The sequence below is a fragment of the Homo sapiens genome, chromosome 15 (genome assembly GCF_000001405.40).
Source record: "Homo sapiens chromosome 15, GRCh38.p14 Primary Assembly".
NCBI lineage: Eukaryota > Metazoa > Chordata > Mammalia > Primates > Hominidae > Homo > Homo sapiens.
This window is the reverse complement of record NC_000015.10, coordinates 44,988,066-45,007,505: the sequence shown is the minus strand read 5'-3', so window position 1 is coordinate 45,007,505 and position 19,440 is coordinate 44,988,066. Positions and strand designations below refer to the sequence as shown.

General features: G+C 41.3%; 1 pseudogene, besides 1 other annotated feature; it reads left to right on the top strand.

Annotated features, from left to right (window-relative positions):
• Positions 3,321-3,370: an enhancer, noted in NCBI's record as "active region_9348". NCBI's record gives its function as "activates an Ori minimal core promoter by ATAC-STARR-seq in GM12878 lymphoblastoid cells {active_cell/tissue: GM12878}" and the evidence as "EXISTENCE:reporter gene assay evidence [ECO:0000049][PMID:35858748]".
• RNU1-78P (RNA, U1 small nuclear 78, pseudogene) lies at positions 4,478-4,642 on the top strand (annotated as a pseudogene).

Here is a 19,440-nt window from a genome sequence, read left to right as displayed (position 1 = left end):
CACACCAAGACTAAAAGCTCTCAAATAATGCAAAGTAATTTTTGATACCTGCCAAAGTAAAAAATTTGAGATAATGTAAGGTAAAACAGAAGACAGCCTTAGATTTTGAGAGGGATCTATTCTTTTTCAATTCCTAGGGTTCCATGAGAAAAACAGCGCTTTTTCCCAGAATGGGGTCTGTGGCACTTCCTGTTTTTCCCTAAGAGTTCCAGGCTGTTAGAATTTATCTTAGGTTCTCTCATGTGGGCATCAAGAGTGTTGAGAAGACAAAAGTGGAGAAAAACAACTCAGTCGAGCGAGAAGAAAAAAACCTTTTTTGTTTCTTTAGAAAAATAAGATCCAAGAAGAGAAAAAAGAAACCATGTAAAGGTATTTTAAATATGTGTGCAGTTTGGATATCTGCTTTTAATGAAGCTGATTTTAACCATACAGCTCTTTAAAAAATTATTTTTTAAATATCTAATTATTAGACTCTAGCCAGGACAGTCAATATTCCTTGCTTTTGAACTTTACCACAGGTAACTTCCCATGTGAAATTAATGTTTTAAATAAGGTTATAATGGATACATAAGGTATTTCAAAGAGATAGTAAGCAGTTTCTTTTTTTTTTTTTTAACAAGATCTAGAATCTTTCCAAGGTAGTTCAAAGGAAAACTCAAGACACGAAATCAAAAGTGGTCCACGGGGGAAAAAAGAATCAATAAGTGGCAAAAAGTTACACAAATAAACCAGAAAAGACTCATTCCCTAAGAATTGAACCCAGGCTGCCATTGTCAAAAGACAAGGCCTTAGCTACTGAGGTACAGCATTGAGCAGTTTCTATTGCTCTTCCTAGAAGAAGCCTAGAGCAGCCAATTTTGAGCTTGCAAAGGCTTTTAACTGCTGAAGTTAACTTTTAGGGTTAACTATGATATGCATCCCCAAATTCCTGTCCTCTGGATGCCAGAGACCAAGAGAAAGTATCTCCACATGGTCACAAGGTTGGGCTCTTAAAGACACAAAACAAGACAGATAAATTTCATCTGGTATTGGTTTCAGGGACACACAGCAAAGTTTGTAACTGAGCAGCCTGCCAGGCTGGCTTGAAAAATGGGCTTACAGGAGTCCTAAACCCACATTCTATTCTGTGATACCCTTCTCTCCATTACAGAACAACACAGAAAGACAAATTCTTAGCACAAAGTACACCATATTTGCTACAACCTAACACTACTCTCAGAAATCCTTTCTTCTACTAATCAAACCCTTGCAGAGGAGACATTGATGTTTATCATTTATACACAGAGAGAAAGAGACAGAGACCGGAAACTTGGCTGGTAAGAAATTCCTACCCTTTTTGCTGGCATACCAGGTTTCTGTGTCCCCTTTCTCTGAAGCTTCCAGAAAATGGAGCAGCTTTTGATGACCCTGCTTACTGTGCCATAGCTGTGGGGGCCAAGCCCTGTTACAAAAGAAAATCATCCATTTCTGTTTTATGGAACCATAGGCAAAAGCTTCTCACTTTTCCAAGATGCTGCCTGATGGGTTGCATGGGGAACTGAATTAATATTTTCCATCCCAGCCGAAGCAAAATACACATAACGAAACAGACACTAGTCACCTCGTTCAGCACCCAATATTGACCTGGCAAGGCTCAAACTTTCTCATGTTGGTTCCCATAGTCTTTGATCCACTCCAAGTGGAGAGGGATGACCTCCAACCGGTAATTGAATAGGTGGTCTCTGGGCAAGATGAAGAGTGGACAGTCACCCCATGTCAGGCCTGTTGAGCTTTCTTCAGGGCTCATCAGATGTAACCTGACTTACGTAGAGTTCTCCGAGTTAGGCCTGCTGGACTTCCATCAGCAATTCCCTCAGAGATCCCCTCAACATATACAAACACACACACAACAAAGACAAGACAGACAGAAGGCCTTTGAGACACAGATTCCAGACCCAGTCACAAACCAAGAGTATTCCTCCAAACAAGTCCCCTATTCTCCATCCAATTAGACATCTCACCAGTAGACATCTCGTGATGGGGCTAAAGACAGACACCCCATGATGGAGCTAAAGACAGACACCAAAAAAGAGACAGCAGCACCTCCAGAGAGACTGACAAATAGGAGAAGGAAGGGGCTGTTGGCAGCACCTAGAATACTCACCAAATCAGACACCCCATAATGGGGCTACAGCTACAGACACTCCATGACGGGGCTACAGACAGACACCCAGTGGTAGGGCTACAGTTGCAGACACCCAGTGGTGGAGCTGGAGAGAGACACCCCACCATGGGGCTACAGACAAACATTCCACCATGGAGCTACAGTTATGGGATATCTCCCAGGACTATTTCTCTATCGCAATTAAATTCATGCACAATGGATCAGCAGCACCCCACCAGTAGAGCCAGTACTAGAGTCAACCCCCAGTCCAAGAGAACTAGGTGGCCACTTGGGTGGCCTCTGGATCTGTTGCTGGAGGGAGTCTACCAAACCATGGGCAGGCAGCCACAAGGGCAATTCTGAGCAAGCCCCAAATTTGTAACCGCCCAATGAGTTCACCTTGCCTGCTGCCTAGACAAAGCCAATTTATCAAGACAGGGGAATTGCAATAAAGAAAGAGTAATTCATGCAGAGCCAACTTTGCGGGAGACTGAAGTTTTATTATTACTCAAATCAGTCTCCCTAAGCATTCAAACATACAGAGATCGGCATTTTTAACGATAATTTGGAGAGTAGGGGAGAACCAGTGAGTCAGGAGTGCTGATTAGTTGGGTCAGAGGTGAAATCATAAAGGGTCAAAGCTATCTTCTTGGGCTGAGTCAGTTCCTGGGTAGGGGCCCCAAAATCAGATGAGCCAGTTTATCAATCTGGGTGGTGCCAGCTGATCCATCAAGTGCAGGGTCTGCAAAATATCTAAAGCACTAACATTTCATTTTATAATAATGACATTATCCCCAGGAGCAATTTGGGGAGGGTCAGAATCCTTTAGTCTCCAGCTGTGTGACTCCTAAACCATAATTTCTACTTTTGTGGCTAATTCATTAGTCCTACAAAGGCAGTCTAGTCCCCAGGCAAGAAGGAGGTTTGTTTTGAAGAAGGGCTGTTATCTTTGTTTTAATCTATAAATTAAAAACTAAGATCCCCCCAAAGTTGGTTCAGACCATGCCCAGGAATGAAGAAGGACAGCTTGGAGGTTAGAAGCAAGATTTTAGGTCAGATCTCTTTCACTGTCTCAGTTATGATTTTGCAGTGGTGGTTTCACAGACACACGGCTAATCCTCTTACCTAATCCATTAGACTTTGTCCCAGCCCTTGAAGTTGTCTCCCCCTGGCCTGCCCAACACACAGGGCACAGCCTGTACTTTCACCAGTAATCACCCCTTCCCCAAATGCACTGGAATCCCACTGATGACAAGGCCTCATTTCTTAACCAGGATGTGGTAAAGTGCTCTCTACAGCATAAAAGCCCCCAAAAAATTTGATGATGATGATGGATCAAGCTCTGGAGCCCCACTAATGACAAAAAAGGAAGTGTGTGTGTGTGGGTGTGGGTGTGTGTGTGCACGTGGACACATGTAGGTGAAGGGTGTGGGAGCATTACAAGTTGTACAAGGCAGTGGAATGGATTTTTGCAGGGACTACTTATAGAATTAGTCAGGTCCTTTGCTTTTAGATACCTCCCACAGCTCTTAGCTGTGCATGAATGATTCCTTCAGTAGCTTGTGTACTTAGCAGCTAAGCAGGTCTTGCTTGGAGAGATGAGGTACTTGCCTTCACTTACCCACTGAATTTAAAACCCAGTTTAACCCTCCTTGCTTTATGGGGTTTCCTCACAGTCTTCTAAGCATGTCCTTCCAATGGGTGAAGCTGAAGGAGAAGACCCCAGGAATGGCTTAAGAGCTGAGGGCCACTTTAAGTAGATACTTCTTGGACTTTAAATTATGAAAACAAAACACACAGAACCAAAGCAAAAGCCACTGGAATAATGACATAATGGCCACACTGGAGTTGTATTGTTTTCTCCTGAGCAGTAACATTTCAAAGCTGTCTCGAAGGTTGTTGCCTGGTAGCAGAGATTTGCAGGAGGGGAAGGCAGATTTAGAAATATATTCTATGACTAGGGCTCTTTATAGAAAAGGTAAAAGGATGAATTGATAAGGATTCTGTTTTTTCAGAGCAGAAGAACTTGATAAGGAGTCTTAAGAAGCTGACATTTTAAAAACAAAAAACTCAAGTTGTTATTATAGTATTGTGACACTTCTGCATAATTTCCTAACAAAGACCAGCATTCATAGTGCTGAGGAACAGACTTTTCCAGGCATTTTACTGAATAAGCTGTAAAATGCTGCCTTTGACTTTGCTGGTGGCCTGCTTGGCATAGCTTCTCTGGGCCTCTGCTTAACTTTCCCAGACAGCACAGCACTTTGAAACACTCTCCCCACTGAATACAACTAACAAGTTCTTGATAAATCTCTACTATCAAAACTTATTTGGATTCTTACCTGGCAGGGGAGATGCCATGATCATGAAGGTGGTTTTCCCAGGCTGAGGCTCATCCATTGCACTCCATAGGTGTGCTTACCCCTGTGATTTCCCCAAATGCGGGAAACTCAACTGCATAATTTGTGGTAGTGAGGAACTGCATTCGTGCTTTCCCCTGGGAAAAAAAAAAAACAAAAAAACTTATATGGAGTTTAAAATATAATTAATTAAAAATCAATCCTGTGGGATCACATATCTAGGGGAGACTTTAACCCATCACAGATACTGGATCTGGATAACTTGCAATAACCCAGTGTCTGTGATGGGTTAGTCTCCCCTTAACTTATCACAGATACTGGGTTATTGCAGGTCTGGATTACATAGTGCACTAACAAGAAAAATCAGTGTGCCATAGGTCCTTGGTGTTCCAAAAGTCAGAATAGTTATAAAATCCTGACTATGGCTTCCTCCATTGCTTCATCAGCTATTCAGTTACTCACACCTAGCTATTCACAACAAAAGAAAGAAGCAACAAAAAAAAAACCATTAAGTTTCTTGAAGAACTTGGAAATAAGGTTGACAATGAACATTAAACTAGTAAAATCCATATACAATAAAAGAGATTAACAGAGGCCACCCTGAGGAACCATTAACATACTTTCTATTAACAAACCTGAAGAAAGCACTAAGAAGAGTTAGGAAAAGAGAGTCAGAGAGCAGGAATTTTAGTCTAGAACTATCCAAGGAGAGAGGCACTTTGATAGTAGTGGCAGTTCTGGTGGCACAGGTAGAGTGGAAGCAAGGAGACCAGTTGAGGTTCCTGCTATATGCCAGCCAAGAATGGTGATTTGGACTTGGATAAATGGTGGAAGTGGAGGTGGAGTGAAGTAGACAGATCCAAGATTTATTTTGGATGTAGGATCCATGGAACTTGGTAAGGTGTGAGCTTATGGGAGTTGAGGAGAAGATAGCAGAAAGGCTGACTCCCAGATTTCTGGCATGACTAACTGGAAGGATGAAGAGACACCCAGCTGAGATTTGGGGAGGAGCAGATTTGGGGAAAATATCAAACATGTAATTTTGGGTAGGCCAAGTTTGAGATGGTGTCTTTGTCTACTTTGTGTTGCTATAAAGGAATATCTGAGGCTGGGTGACTTATAAAGGAAAGGCTTATAGGGCTCATGGTTCTGCAGGCTGCACAATAAGCATGGTGGCAGCATCTGCTCAGCTTCTGGTGAGGGGCTGCAGGTTGCCTCCACTATTGGCAGAAAGGAAGAGGGAAGGAGAGCGAGCATGGGCTGAGATCACATGGTGAGAGAGGAAGCAAGAGAGAGCAGGGAGGTGCTAGGCTCTTTTTACCAACCAGCTTTCATGGGAACTAACAACCAGCATAACAGAGTGAAAACTCACTCACTTTACCTGCGCCCACCAACCCACAAAGGGAGGGCATTAATCTATTCATGAGAGGTCATCCTCCCTGACCCAAACATTTCCCATTAGGTCCCACTTCCAACATTGGGATCAAATTTCAACATGAGGCTTGGGGAGACAAACATCCAAACTATAACATTCTGCCCCTTCCCCCTAAACTCATGTCCTTCTCAGATGCAAAATACATTCTACCCCAATAGTGCCCAAAGTGTTAACTTGTTCCAACGTCAACTTAAAAGTCTAAAGTCCAAAGTCTCATCTGAGACTCAGGGCAAATTCCTTCCAGCTATGAGCCTGTAAAATCAAAAACAAGTTATTTAGTTCCCAGATGCAATGGTTGTACAGGCATTAGGTAAAGATTTTCATTCCCCAAAGGAGAAACTGGCCAAAAGAAAGGTAACAGGCCCATGCAAGTCTGAAACCCAGTAGGGCAGACAGGCAGACATTAAATCTTAAAGCTCCAAAATAAACTTTGACTCCATGTCCTGCATTCTGGGGACACTGGTTTGAGGGATGGGCTCCCAGTGCCTCAGACAGCCCTACCCCTATGGCTTTGCTGAGCGCTGCCTACATGGCTGCTCTTATGGTTTGGAGTGGAGTACCTGAGGCTTTCACAGACTGAGGTGCATGCTGCTGGTGCCTCCATAATGCTAGGGTGGAGGGCAGCAGCCCTTCTTCCACAGCTACTAGGCACTGCCCTAGTACAGTTTCTCTGCAGTGGCTTGCCCCTGTGGCAGGCTTCTGCCTGGGCACTCAGGCTTTCCAATACATCCTCTGAAATCTAGGTGGAAGCTGCCCAGCCTTTACCACTCTTACATTCTGGGAGCCTGCAGACAACACCATGCGGAAGCTGCAACAACTTAAGGCTTACACTCTCTGGAACAGCAGCCTGAAGTGGTACCTGGGGCTGTTTGGGCTCAGGCTAGAGCTAGAGCAATTAGAATGCTCCCCACATCCTGCGGTGGCATAGGGCAAAAGCACCCCAGGCCTGTCCCCTGAAACCATTCTGTCCTCATAGGCCTCTGAGCCTGTGATGGGAGGGATGACCTCAAAGATTTCTGAAATGTCTTTGAGGTCTTTTCCCCATTGTTCTATTAGCACCTCATTCCCTTTTATCCATGGTAATCTCTCTAGCAAGTGGTTGCTCCATATCGCCCTTGGATTCCTCACCTGAAAACATTCTTTCCTTCTCTACCACATGACCAAGTTATAAATGTTCCAAATTGTTTTGCTCTTTTTCTCTTTTAATTAGAAATTCCACCTTTAGATCATTATTTTGCTGCTGTATCTGATCATAAGCTGTTAAAAGTAGCAGGCCAGTCATGGTGCTCACGCCTGTAATCCCAGCACTTTGGGAGGCTGAGGCGGGCAGATCACGAGGTCAGGAGATCAAGACCATCCTGGCTAACACGGTGAAACCCCGTCTCTACTAAAAATACAAAAAAAATTAGCCGGGTGTGGTTGCAGGTGCCTGTAGTCCCAGCTACTTGGGAGGCTGAGGCAGGAGAATGGCGTGAACCCAGGAGGCGGCGGAGCTTGCAGTGAGCGGAGATCGCGCCACTGCGCTCCAGCCTGGGCGACAGAGCGAGACTCCGTCTCAAAAAAAAAAAAAAAAAAAAAAGTAGCCGTGCCACTTCTTGAATGTGTTGCTGTTTAGACATTTCTTCCACTGGATACCCTAGTTCATCACTCTTAAGTTTGGCCTTCCACAAAGCCCTAGGCCATGAACACAATGCAGCCAAGTTCTTTGCTACCACATAATATGGGTGACATTTGCTCCAGTTCCCAATAAGTTCCTTATTTCCATCTGAGACTTTGTCAGCATGGCCTTTACTGTCTATATGTCTATAAACATTTTGGTCACAACTATTTAACCAATATGTAAGAAGTTCCTAACTTTTCCTAGTCTTTTTTCTCCTTCTGAGCCCTCCAAACTCTTCCAACCTCTGCCCATTAACTAGTCCAAAGCCATTTCCACATTTTCAAGTATCTTTATAGCAACACCCACTCCTCAGTATTAATTTTCTGTCTTCATCTGTTTTGTGTTGCTATAAAGGAATACCTGAGGCTGAGTAATTTATAAAGAAGAGGTTTATGTGGCTCACAGTTCTGCAGGCTGTGTGATAAGCATGGCACCAGCATCTGCTTCTGGTGAGGGCTTCAGGCTGTTTCTACTCATCGTGAAGGTAAAGAGGAGCCAAGGTGTGCAGAGAGTACATGGTGAGAGAGGAAGCAAGAGAGAGTAGAGGGGTGCCAGGCTCTTTTTAACAAACAGCTTTGGTGGGAACTAACAGAGCAACAATTCACTCACTCACTCTCACTTCCCCAACCCCAGAGGGAGGGCATTAATCTATTCATGTGTCGTCTATGCCCATGGCACAAACACCTCCCATTAGGCCCTACCTTCAACATGGGAATCAAATTTCAACATGAGGTGTTGGGGGACAAACATCTAAATTATAGCAGATGCCTATAGCAGACATCCAGGTGAAATGACCAAACAATATAGGGCACGTGCTATGTAGGAGACTGGGAAAGTCTAGGCTTGAAGGTCTAGATGAAATTTGGAAGTCATTGGTATATAGACTATTGAGAGCAGTAAGTGAGAAGAAGATAATCTAGAGACTGAACACACAATTTGAAAAAGGACATAGCTCAGGTCCAAGCTCTGAGCATCAAACATCAAGGAACTAGGAAAAATGAAGAGGAAACAGCAAAGGATCCTGAGAATAAGTGAAGGCACAAAAAGCATTGTTTTAAGAAAAAAGTGTTCAAGTGTTTAATACTGATAAGAAGTCAAGATGGAAACCAAAGAATATCTAGTGGATTCAGCAACAAGGAGGTAATTGGTAATCATGCAAACGGAGTTTTGGTGGAAAGATGGGAGTGGGAGCCATATTGGGACGGGATCATTCATCCATTTATTCAGCAACTATGTAATAAGTGTCTGTGACATGCTGGTACACGGTGCTGGGGATACAATGAATCTGACAGACACAATCCCCACTTAGGGGAGGAGAAGCCATTAAGCAGATAATCATAGAAGTAATGACTCAAACACAATTATGGTAAGGGCTATGAAGGAAAAGAAAAGAAAACCATGAAAGTGTGTAGCAGAGGAACCTAGTCTAGCTTGAAAGCAAGGGAAGTTTGCCCTGAGGGAGTGATAGATAAAGCTGTACTTGAGAGACTTGAGTTGTGACAGCAGTGAGGCTAGGGAGGGAGATTGTGTGTTCCAGGCAGAAGGAACCACAAACGTGGAGTCCAAGAGGGCGAGACCATCATGAAAAGTCAGCAGTGTGGCAGAATCACAGTGAACAAGGAGAGAGTGGCACAAAACAACAAAAACAACAACAGCAACTAGAGCCTAGCAAGTGACCCAACCCAGGGGTTCACATAGATCCTCCAGTGTTTTACACTGTAGGAAATGCCAGGGTGCAAGAAGAAAGGTAGTGAGAAGGCCTATGGCTGAAGACCTTAAGGCAAAAGCTAGAAAATTATACTTCTCTAGGGTGAGGAGTTCACTCTGATGTACAAAGTCTATTTTTTTCAAGCAAAAAATAATGGAATAGCACTGACTTTTATTCATTCATGTGAAGTCACCTGAAATGATATCTGTTGCATTTAAATGCTCATTAATAATATAAATGACTTAACAAATCCATTTCAATGGATATTCAATATTCCACTTAGATAAGTCACACAGCCTCATGACAACGCATATAACATATATAAACAGACAGGGATAAACACCTCCTCCCCCTCAGTTGATTTATTCAGCATGTTAGAGCAGTGAAGAATGGTTTCAGTCTTATAACCAAGTTAGAGTGAAGACACTGGCCGCATAATACACATGCTCCATTTGTAAAACAATTATCAGTCTTGGGCAACCGTTCTCTTGAAACCTTACAGTTTTTAAAAGCAGTTATTGTCCAAAGCTGGGAGAACTTAAGTCTTCTCAAATGAGCATGTGAATGAATGGAGGGAGGTAAACAGAAAATAAAATTTAAAAAGATGAGGTCTGATATGGGAGCAGCTGGATTAGAAACTAAAAAAGCGGCTAGGCACAGTGGCTCACACCTAGAATCCCAGCACTTTGGGAGGCCAAGGCAGGCAGATCGGTTGAGCTCAGGAGTTCAAGACCAACCTGGGCAACATGGTGAAACCCTGTCTCTACAAAAAAATAAAATAAAAAATAAATACAAAAATACAAAAATTAGTCAGGTGTGGTGGCACATGCCCGTAATCCCAGCTACTTGGGTGGCTGAGGCAGGAGAATCACTCGAACCCAGGAGGTGGAGGCTGCAGTGAGTGGAGAAGGAGAGAGAGAGAGAGAGACAGAGAGAGAGAGGAAGGGAGGAAGGTAAAAAGGAATAGTAATTTAAAGTTTATTTCAGCTATAATGCAGGTTATTCTGACTTCAAGGTAGCATCACATGGCATACTTCTGAGTCAATTCTCGACATATTCTGTTGTGTTTATCTCTGTCTGTTTATATAAAAAGGCACAATGAGACATTTCTAAACATGGCAGGATCTCAAGAAATATTGTTTCCATGAGCTTTCCTTGAATAAACTACTAGAAGATGAACTTCAACCAAGAAATAAATGGGAAAACTATGGCAAAAAGAGAGGTCATCAAGAGCAGGATAGGGAGAAGATGAGAAAATATTCTAATTTCATTGTTTATTCATATCAGGGGATTGATAGATAGTGCCTAAGAGAGGAAGATTAAGTAAATACATTATAAAGACCATCACTGAAATAAAAATATAACCTTTTCAGATTTTCAGAAAAAATAAAACCAAATACATACCATAACATCAGAATTTTTAAAGGATCTATTAAATAATAGAAGACATCATATAAAGTTATATATATTGTATTAATAATTAATACCAAGTATTTCAATTTGATAAATCTAAATGTGCTAAACTAATGTATTAAAATAAAATAAATTTCAGCCAGTCTTGGTGACCCACACCTGTGATCCTAGCACTTTGGGTGGCTTAGGCAGGAGGATCGTTTGAGCCCAGGAGTTCATGACCAGCCTGGGCAACACAGTGAGACCCCATCTCTATTTTTTATTTAAAAAATAATAAAAATTGAAAGTAAAATAAAATAAAGTAAATTTGGATTAAATCATAAAGCAAAATTCAAATCTATGCTGTACACAAGGGATCCAAAACAAAATAAATCAGAAATCTTTACAATTGTAAATTAGAAGAAAGCAATGGTTATAAGTTTTTTTTGCTTCATTTTGTTTCTCTTTCTTCCTTTTTATTTTCTATTACACTTTAAATTCTAGGGTACATGTGCACAATGTGCAGGTTTGTTACACAGGTATACATGTGCCATGTTGGTGTGCTGCACCCAACAACTTGTCATTTACATTAGGTATTTCTCCTAATGCTATCCCTCCCCCAGCCTCCCAAGCCCTGACAGGCCCCGGTGTGTGATGTTCCCTGCCCTGTGTCCATGTGTTCTCATTGTTCAACTCCCACCTATGAGTGAGAACATGAGGTGTTTGGTTTTCTGTCCTTGTGATAGTTTGCTGAGAATGATGGTTTCCAGCTTCATCCATGTCCCTCCAAAGGACATGAACTCACTCTTTTTATGGCTGCATTGTATTCCATGGAATCGCCACACTGTCTTCCACAATGGCTGAACTAATTTACACTCCCACCAACAGTGTAAAAGTGTTCCTGTTTCTCCATATCCTCTCCAGCATCTGTTGTTTCCTGACTTTTAAATGATCACCATTCTAACTGTTGGAGATGGTATCTCACTGTGGTTTTGATTTGCATTTCTCTGATGACCAGTGATGATGAGCATTTTTTCATGTGTCTGTTGGCTGCATAAATGTCTTCTTTTGAGAAGTGTCTGTTCATATCTTTTGCCCGCTCTTTGATGGGGTTGTTTGTTTTTTTCTTGTACATTTGTTTAAGTTCTTTGTAGATTCTGGATATTAGCCCTTTGTCAGATGGGTAGATTGCAAAAATTTTCTCCCATTCTGTAGGTTGCCTGTTCACTCTGATGACAGTTTCTTTTGCTGTGCAGAAGCTCTTTAGTTTAACTAGACCCCATTTGTCTATTTTGACTTTTGTTAACATTGCTTTTGTTGTTTTAGTCATGAAGTTGTTGCCCATGCCTATGTCCTGAATGGTATTGCCTAGGTTTTCTTCTACAGTTTTTATGGTTTTAGGTCTTACATTTAAGTCTTTAATCCATTTTGAGTTAATTTTTGAATAAGGTGTAAGGAAGGGATCCAGTTTCAGCTTTCTACATTTGGCTAGCGAGTTTTCCCAGCACCATTTATTCATAGGGAATCATTTCCCCATTGCTTGTTTTTGTCAGGTTTCTCAAAGATCAGATGGTTGTAGATGTGTGGTGTTATTTCTAAGGCCACTGTTCTGTTCCATTGGTCTATATATTTGTTTTGGTACCAGTACCATGTTGTTTTGGTTACTGTAGCCTTGTAGTGTAGTTTGAAGTCAGGTAGCATGATGCCTCATGCTTTGTTCTTTTTGCTTAGGATTATCTTGGCTATGCAGGCCCTTTTTTGGTTCCATATGAACTTTAAAGTAGTTTTTTGCAATTCTGTGAAGAAAGTCATTGGTAGCTTGATGGGGATGGCACTGAATCTATAAATTACCTTGGGCAGTAGGGCCATTTTCACGATATTGATTCTTCCTACCCATGAGCATGGAATGTTCTTCCATTTGTTTGTGTCCTCTTTTATTTCATTGAGCAGTGGTTTATGGTTCTCCTTGAAGAGGTCCTTCACATCCCTTGTAAGTTGGGTTCGTAGGTATTTTATTCTCTTTGTAGCAATCAGGAATGGGAGTTCCCTCATGATTTGGCTCTCTGCTTGTCTGCTATTGGCGTATAGGAATGCTTGTGATTTTTGCACATTGATTTTGTATCCTGAGACTTTGCTGAAGTTGCTTATCAGCTTAAGGAGTTTTTGGGCTGAGACAATGGAGTTTTTTTAAATATACAATCATGTCGTCTGCAAACAGGGACAATTTGACTTCCTCTTTTCCTAATTGAATACCCTTTATTTCTTTCTCTTGCCTGATTGCCCTGGCCAGAACTTCCAACACTATGTTGAATAGGAGTGGTGAGAGAGGGCATCCTTGTCTTGTGCTGGTTTTCAAAGGGAATGCTTCCATTTGTTGCCTATTTAGTATGATATTGGCTGTGGGTTTGTCATAACTAGCTCTTATTATTTTGAGGTACATTCCATCAATACCTAGTTTATTGAGAGTTTTTAGCATGAAGTGCTGTTGAATTTTGTCAAAAGCCTTTTCTGCATCTATTGAGATAATCATGTGGTTTTTATCATTGGTTCTGTTTATGTGATGGATTATATTTATTGATTTGCATATGTTGAACCAGCCTTGCATCCCAGGGATGAAGCTTACTTGATCGTGGTGGATAAGCTTTTTGATGTGCTGCTGGATTCAGTTTGCCAGTATTTTATTGAGGATTTTTGCATCGATGTTCATCAGGTGTATTGGTCTAAATTTCTCTTTTTTAGTTGTGTCTCTGCCAGGCTTTGGTATCAGGATGATGCTGGCCTCATAAAATGAGTTAGGGAGGATTTCCTCTTTTTGTATTGTTTGGATTAGTTTCAGAAGGAATGGTACCAGCTCCTCTTTGTACCTCTGGTAGAATTTGGCTGTGAATCCGTCTGGTCCTGGACGATTTTTTGGTTGGTAGGCTATTAATTATTGCCTCAATTTCAGAACCAGTTATTGGTCTATTCAGAGATTCAATTTCTTCCTGGTTTAGTCTTGGGAAGGTGTATGTGTCCAGGAACTTATTCATTTCTTCTAGATTTTCTAGTTTATTTGCATAGAGGTGTTTATAGTATTCTCTGATGGTACTTTGTATTTCTATGGGATTTTAAACTAAAGAGCTTCTGCACAGCAAAAGACACTGTCATCAGAGTGAATAGGCAACCTACAGAATGGGAGAAAATTTTTGCAATCTACCCATCTGACAAAGGGCTAATATCCAGGGTCTACAAAGAACTTACACAAATGTACAAGAAAAAAAACAAACAACCCCATCAAAAAGTGGGCAAAGGATATGAACAGACACTTCTCAAAAGAAGACATTTATGCAGCCAACAGACACATGAAAAAATGCTCATCATCACTGGTCATCAGAGGAATGCAAATCATTTTTTATTGTGGCTATTTGATCCTTCTCTCATTTCTTATTAGTCTTGCTAGTGGTCTATCTATTTTGTTGATCTTTTCAAAAAACCAGCTCCTGGATTCATTGATTTTTTTGAAGGGTTTTTGTGTCTCTATCTCCTTCAGTTCTGCTCTGATCTTAGTTATTTCTTGCCTTCTGTTAGCTTTTGAATATGTTTACTCTTGCTTCTCTAGTTCTTTCCATTGTGATGATAGGGTATTGAATTTAGATCTTTCCTGCTTTCTGTTGTGGGCATTTCATGCTATAAATTTCCCTCACACACTGCTTTAAATGTATCCCAGAGATTCTGGTACATTGTGTCTTTGCTCTTATTGGTTTCAAAGAACATCTTTATTTCTACCTTCATTTCGTTATTTACCCAGTAATTCAGGAGCAGGTTGTTCAGTTTCCATGTAGTTTTCCAGTTTTGAGTGAGTTTCTTAATCCTGAGTTCTAATTTGTTTGCACTGTGGTCTGAGAGACAGTTTGTTGTGATTTCTGTTCTTTTACATTTGCTGAGGAGGGCTTTACTTCTAATTATGTGGTCAATTGTGGAATAAGTGTGATGTGATGGTGAGAAGAATGTATATTCTGTTGATTTGGGGTGGAGAGTTCTGTAGATGTCTATTAGGTCCGCTTGGTGCAGAGCTGAGTTCAAGTCCTGGATATCCTTGTTAGCCTTCTGTCTCGTTGATCTGTCTAACATTGACAGTGGGGTGTTAATGTCTCCCATTATTGTGTGGGAGTCTAAGTCTATTTGTAGGTCTCTAAGGACTTGCTTTATGAATCTGGGTGCTCCTGTATTGGGTGCATATATATTTAGGATAGTTAGCTCTTCTTTTTGAATTGATCCCTTTACCATTATGTAATGGCCTTCTTTGTCTCTTTTGATCTTTGTTGATTTAAAGTCTGTTTTATCAGAGACTAGGATTGCAACCCCTGCTTTTTTTTTTTTTTTTTTTTTTTGCTTTCCATTTACTTGGTAGATCTTCCTCCATCCCTTTATTTTGAGCTGATGTGCATTTCTGCATGTGAGATGGGTCTCCTGAATACAGCACACTGATGAGTCTTGACTCTTTATCCAATTTGTCAGTCTGTGTCTTTTAATTGGGTCATTTAGGCCATTTACATTTAAGGTTAATATTGTTATGTGTGAATTTGATCCTGTCATTATGATGTTAGCTGGTTATTTTGCCTGTTAATTGATGCAGTTTCTTCCTAGCATTGATGGTCTTTAAAATTTGGCATGTTTTTGCAGTGGCTGGTACTGGTTGTTGCTTTCCATGTTTACTATTTCCTTCAGGAGCTCTTATAAAGGGAGGCCTGGTGGTGACAAAACCTCTCAGCATTTATTTGTCTGTAAAGGATTTTATTTCTCCTTCACTTATGAAGCTTAGTTTGGCTGAATATGAAATTCTGGGTTGAAAATTCTTTTCTCGAAGAATGTTGAATATCGGCCCCCACTCTCTTCTGGCTTGTAGAGTTTCTGCCGAGAGATCTGCTGTTAGTCTGATGGGCTTCCCTTTGTGGGTAACCTGATCTTTCTCTCTGGCTGCCCTTAACATTTTTTCCTTCATTTCAACCTTGGTAAGTCTGACAATTGTGTGTCTTGGTGTTGCTCTCCTCAAGGAGTATCTTTGTGGCGTTCTCTGTATTTCCTTAATTTGAATGTTGGCCTACCTTGCTAGGTTGTGGAAGTTCTCCTGGATAATATTCTGAAGAGTATTTTCCAACTTGTTTCCATTCTCCCTATCACTTTCAGGTACACAAATCAAATGTAGATTTGGTCTTTTCACAAGTCCCATATTTCTTGGAGGCTTTGTTCATTTCTTTTCACTCTTTTTTCTCTTATCTTGTCTTCTCACTATATTTCATTAATTTGATCTTCAATCACTGATACCCTTTCTTCCACTTGATCGAATCAGCTATTGAATCTTGTGCATGTGTCATGCAGTTCTCGTGCTGTGGTTTTCAGCGCCATCAGGTCATTTAAGGTCTTCTCTACATATTTATTCTAGTTAGCCATTTATCTAACCTTTTTTCAAGGTTTTTAGCTTCCTCATGATGAGTTCAAACATCCTCCTTTAGCTTGGAGAAGTTTGTTATTATCGACCTTCTGAAGCCTACTTCTGTCAACTCGTCAAACTTATTTTCTGTCCAGTTTTGTTCCATTGCTGGCGAGGAGCTGCAATCCTTTGGAGGAGAAGAGGTGCTCTGATTTTTGGAATTTCCTGCTTTTCTGCTCTGGTTTCTCCCCATCAGGCAAGGCTAACATTGGGACAAACAAATGTTAAGGGGTACAAATAAATAATCTATAATGATAAAAAAATGCAGTTCACCAGTTACAATGTTATAAATACCTAAGCACCAAATAACTTAGCACCTCCATGAATATTAATTAAAACATAAAATCACAGGATATACAAGAAAAAATGGAAACATTGTAGTAGACGCCGAAATGACAGAGAAGGATTAAATAGCATAATTAATAACAGATAAAACTTGGTACTCAAAAAAGAGAATACACCTTTTTTTTAAAGTATCTGTGGATAATTCACAAAAATTGACCATGTATTAGGCCAAAATGAAAATATTTGTGAGATATAAACTATAGAAATAGTACAGATAACATTGTCTATATAGAAGGCATTAAAAAAGAAGAGAAGAACCAGGTGCAGTAGCTCATGCCTATAATCCCAGCAGTTTGAGAGGCCAAGGCTGGTAGATCCCTTGAGCCAAGGAGTTTGAGACCAGCCTGCGCAACAAGGTGCAACCCTGTCACTGCCAAAAAAAAAAAGAGAGAGAAGAGAACACTTTATAACTTGTTTTATGAGGCCAGCATAACCTTGATATCCAAAACAGACAAGGACATTACAAGAAAGGAAAATTACAGGATGATCTCTCTCATCAACATACATGTGAAAATTCTGAACAAAATATTAGCAAATCTAATTGTATTAATACATTCAAAGCATGTATAGTTTTTTGTTTTTTTGTTTGTTTGTTTGTTTTTGAGATGGAGTTTTGCTCTTGTTGCCCAGGCTGAATTGCAATAGCACGATCTTGGCTCATCCCAAGCTCTGCCTCCCAGGTTGAAGCTATTCTCCTGCCTCAGCCTCCCGAGTAGCTGGGATTACACGCATGTGCCATCATGCCTAGCTAATTTTTTGTATTTTTTAGTAGAGACAGGATTTCTCCATGTCGGTCAGGCTGGTCTTGAACTCCCGACCTCAGGTGATATGCCCGGCCTCCCAAAGTGCTGGGATTACAGGTATGAGCCACCACACCTCGCCAAGCATGTATAGTTTTTAAAAGCTCAACAACATGATCTGATGTGCAGTCAGGTTTGATCCACTGTTGTACATGATATAAGATGTCATCATCACAGACCATAATAGTAAATTCCCAATTGAATTGCCAATTTAGAAGCTTGACTTTTCCCGGTCACTTCAGCATTATGTAGGAAAAGACTGAACTTTAAAACCAGAGTGATCAGAGATGGAATCACAATTCTTTTTTGTTGTTGTTGTTGTTTTTTGACAGAGTCTCGCTCTGTCGCCCAGGCTGGAGTGCAGTGGCACAATCTCAGCTCACGGCACGCTCCATTGCTTGGGTTCACGCCATTCTCCTGCCTCAGCCTCCTGAGTAGCTGGGAGTGCAGGCGCCTGCCACCACACCTGGCTAATTTTTTTTTTTGTATTTTTAGTAAAGATGGGGTTTCACCGTGTTAGCCAGGATGGTCTCGATCTCCTGACCTCGTGATCTGCCTGCCTCAGCCTCCCAAAGTGCTGGGATTACAGGCGTGAGCCACCGCGCCCGCCTGGAATCACAATTCTTAGAATTTACTAGCTACGTGATTTTGGACAAGTTACCAAACCTGTTAGTGTCCATTTTTTTCAGACGTAAAATAAGAATAACACTAACTCTCTGTAATGTTCAATTGTGGAATTAAGGAGACAGTATTTATACAGGCAATATGTTGGGATGACACCCCAAAGTATCCCTAAAACTTAGAATATAAATCAATGGGACCCAAATAAAAAGGATGAGGTTAGACACCAGTAGAAATGACACAGCCAAAGAGATTATTGGATTATTTGTGGGTGTGTAATAGTCTCACCAACACCCAGATCAAATTTAAGTGGCCTGGGTATACTGTCATCTTTGGAAAATAGGAACTGGACTGCACCGGATTAGGTTAAGTCTCAACCTAATCGGTTGCATAATAACATAGGACGAAAACAATGTGCCAATCCCCACAGTAGGAACACCCTAATAACAGACATGGAGGCATCAGGCCAGTGAAGCAGGGTGGCATCAGCCATTAGAACCATGGAGCCTCCCGTACCCCACCCCTGGGGTTTCCTGCTCACTGGGCCACCTTCTGGTGACATTTTTACAGATGTGCCTATGGAAAGGGGATGACATGATGAGCCAACAAGCACATCCATCAAATCCCCTAGAGCGGTATCAATGGAAATCTAAAAGCCCTAGAAATGGGACCTTGGCCACCTCACTGCCCTTAGTGCCTGGGTGATGCTGGAGAGGATATTTTTAAGCCTCCATCTTTTTCTCCCATCCCAGTCTAGTCAGTTTATATGGCAATGAGGTGAGGAAAGGAAGCTTTGGTGATTCAGGTTTCTGGGGTGGCCACTGCATGCTTCATCATGACAAGACTGTGATGGTGACTTCTCAGACTTAGCAAATACTAGCACTTATCCCTTCTGAAGTAAAGCAGGTCCATTATGAGATGGTTTTTAATATGGCCACTTCTGGTATCTTTCATTTTTCAGAGAACATCTTGTATAACTCAAACTCCTTCTCCTCTCCTTCCTTAGTGCTGTGCCCTTGTTTGCTTCTTTCATCTCCCAGAATGCAGTCTGAACTTCAGTCACTTCCACGGCCCCCCTTTTCCTCCACACTACGCTTTTTCCCATGATCATTCTGAATACTTGTCACTGACCCTGTGGAGATCTCTTTCTCCACAGTTCATTTCCCAGTTTCACTTTCTCCTACTCAATGATGTCCCTCTCCTACCCATTCCCAGGATATGCTGAGTTTAACCACAGTCCATCATGCCAGAAAGACTAGTATGTGACGCATGGACAAAATGCTGTTTATTTTTCATGGGACAAAATGTAATGTTTTCCTGAAGGGTTATTGTTGTAATCTCTACCTGTACCAGACAACAGACAGGCTGACCTTTAGAAGGTAAAACTAAACTTCTTCCTTTTCAACTCACCCCTGTCACCATTTCAACTTCTAGGGGTTGGCAAATAAGGAGGTAGAGCTTGTTCTGTTTGATCAGTATTCTTTGCACTTAATGATCCTTATGTGC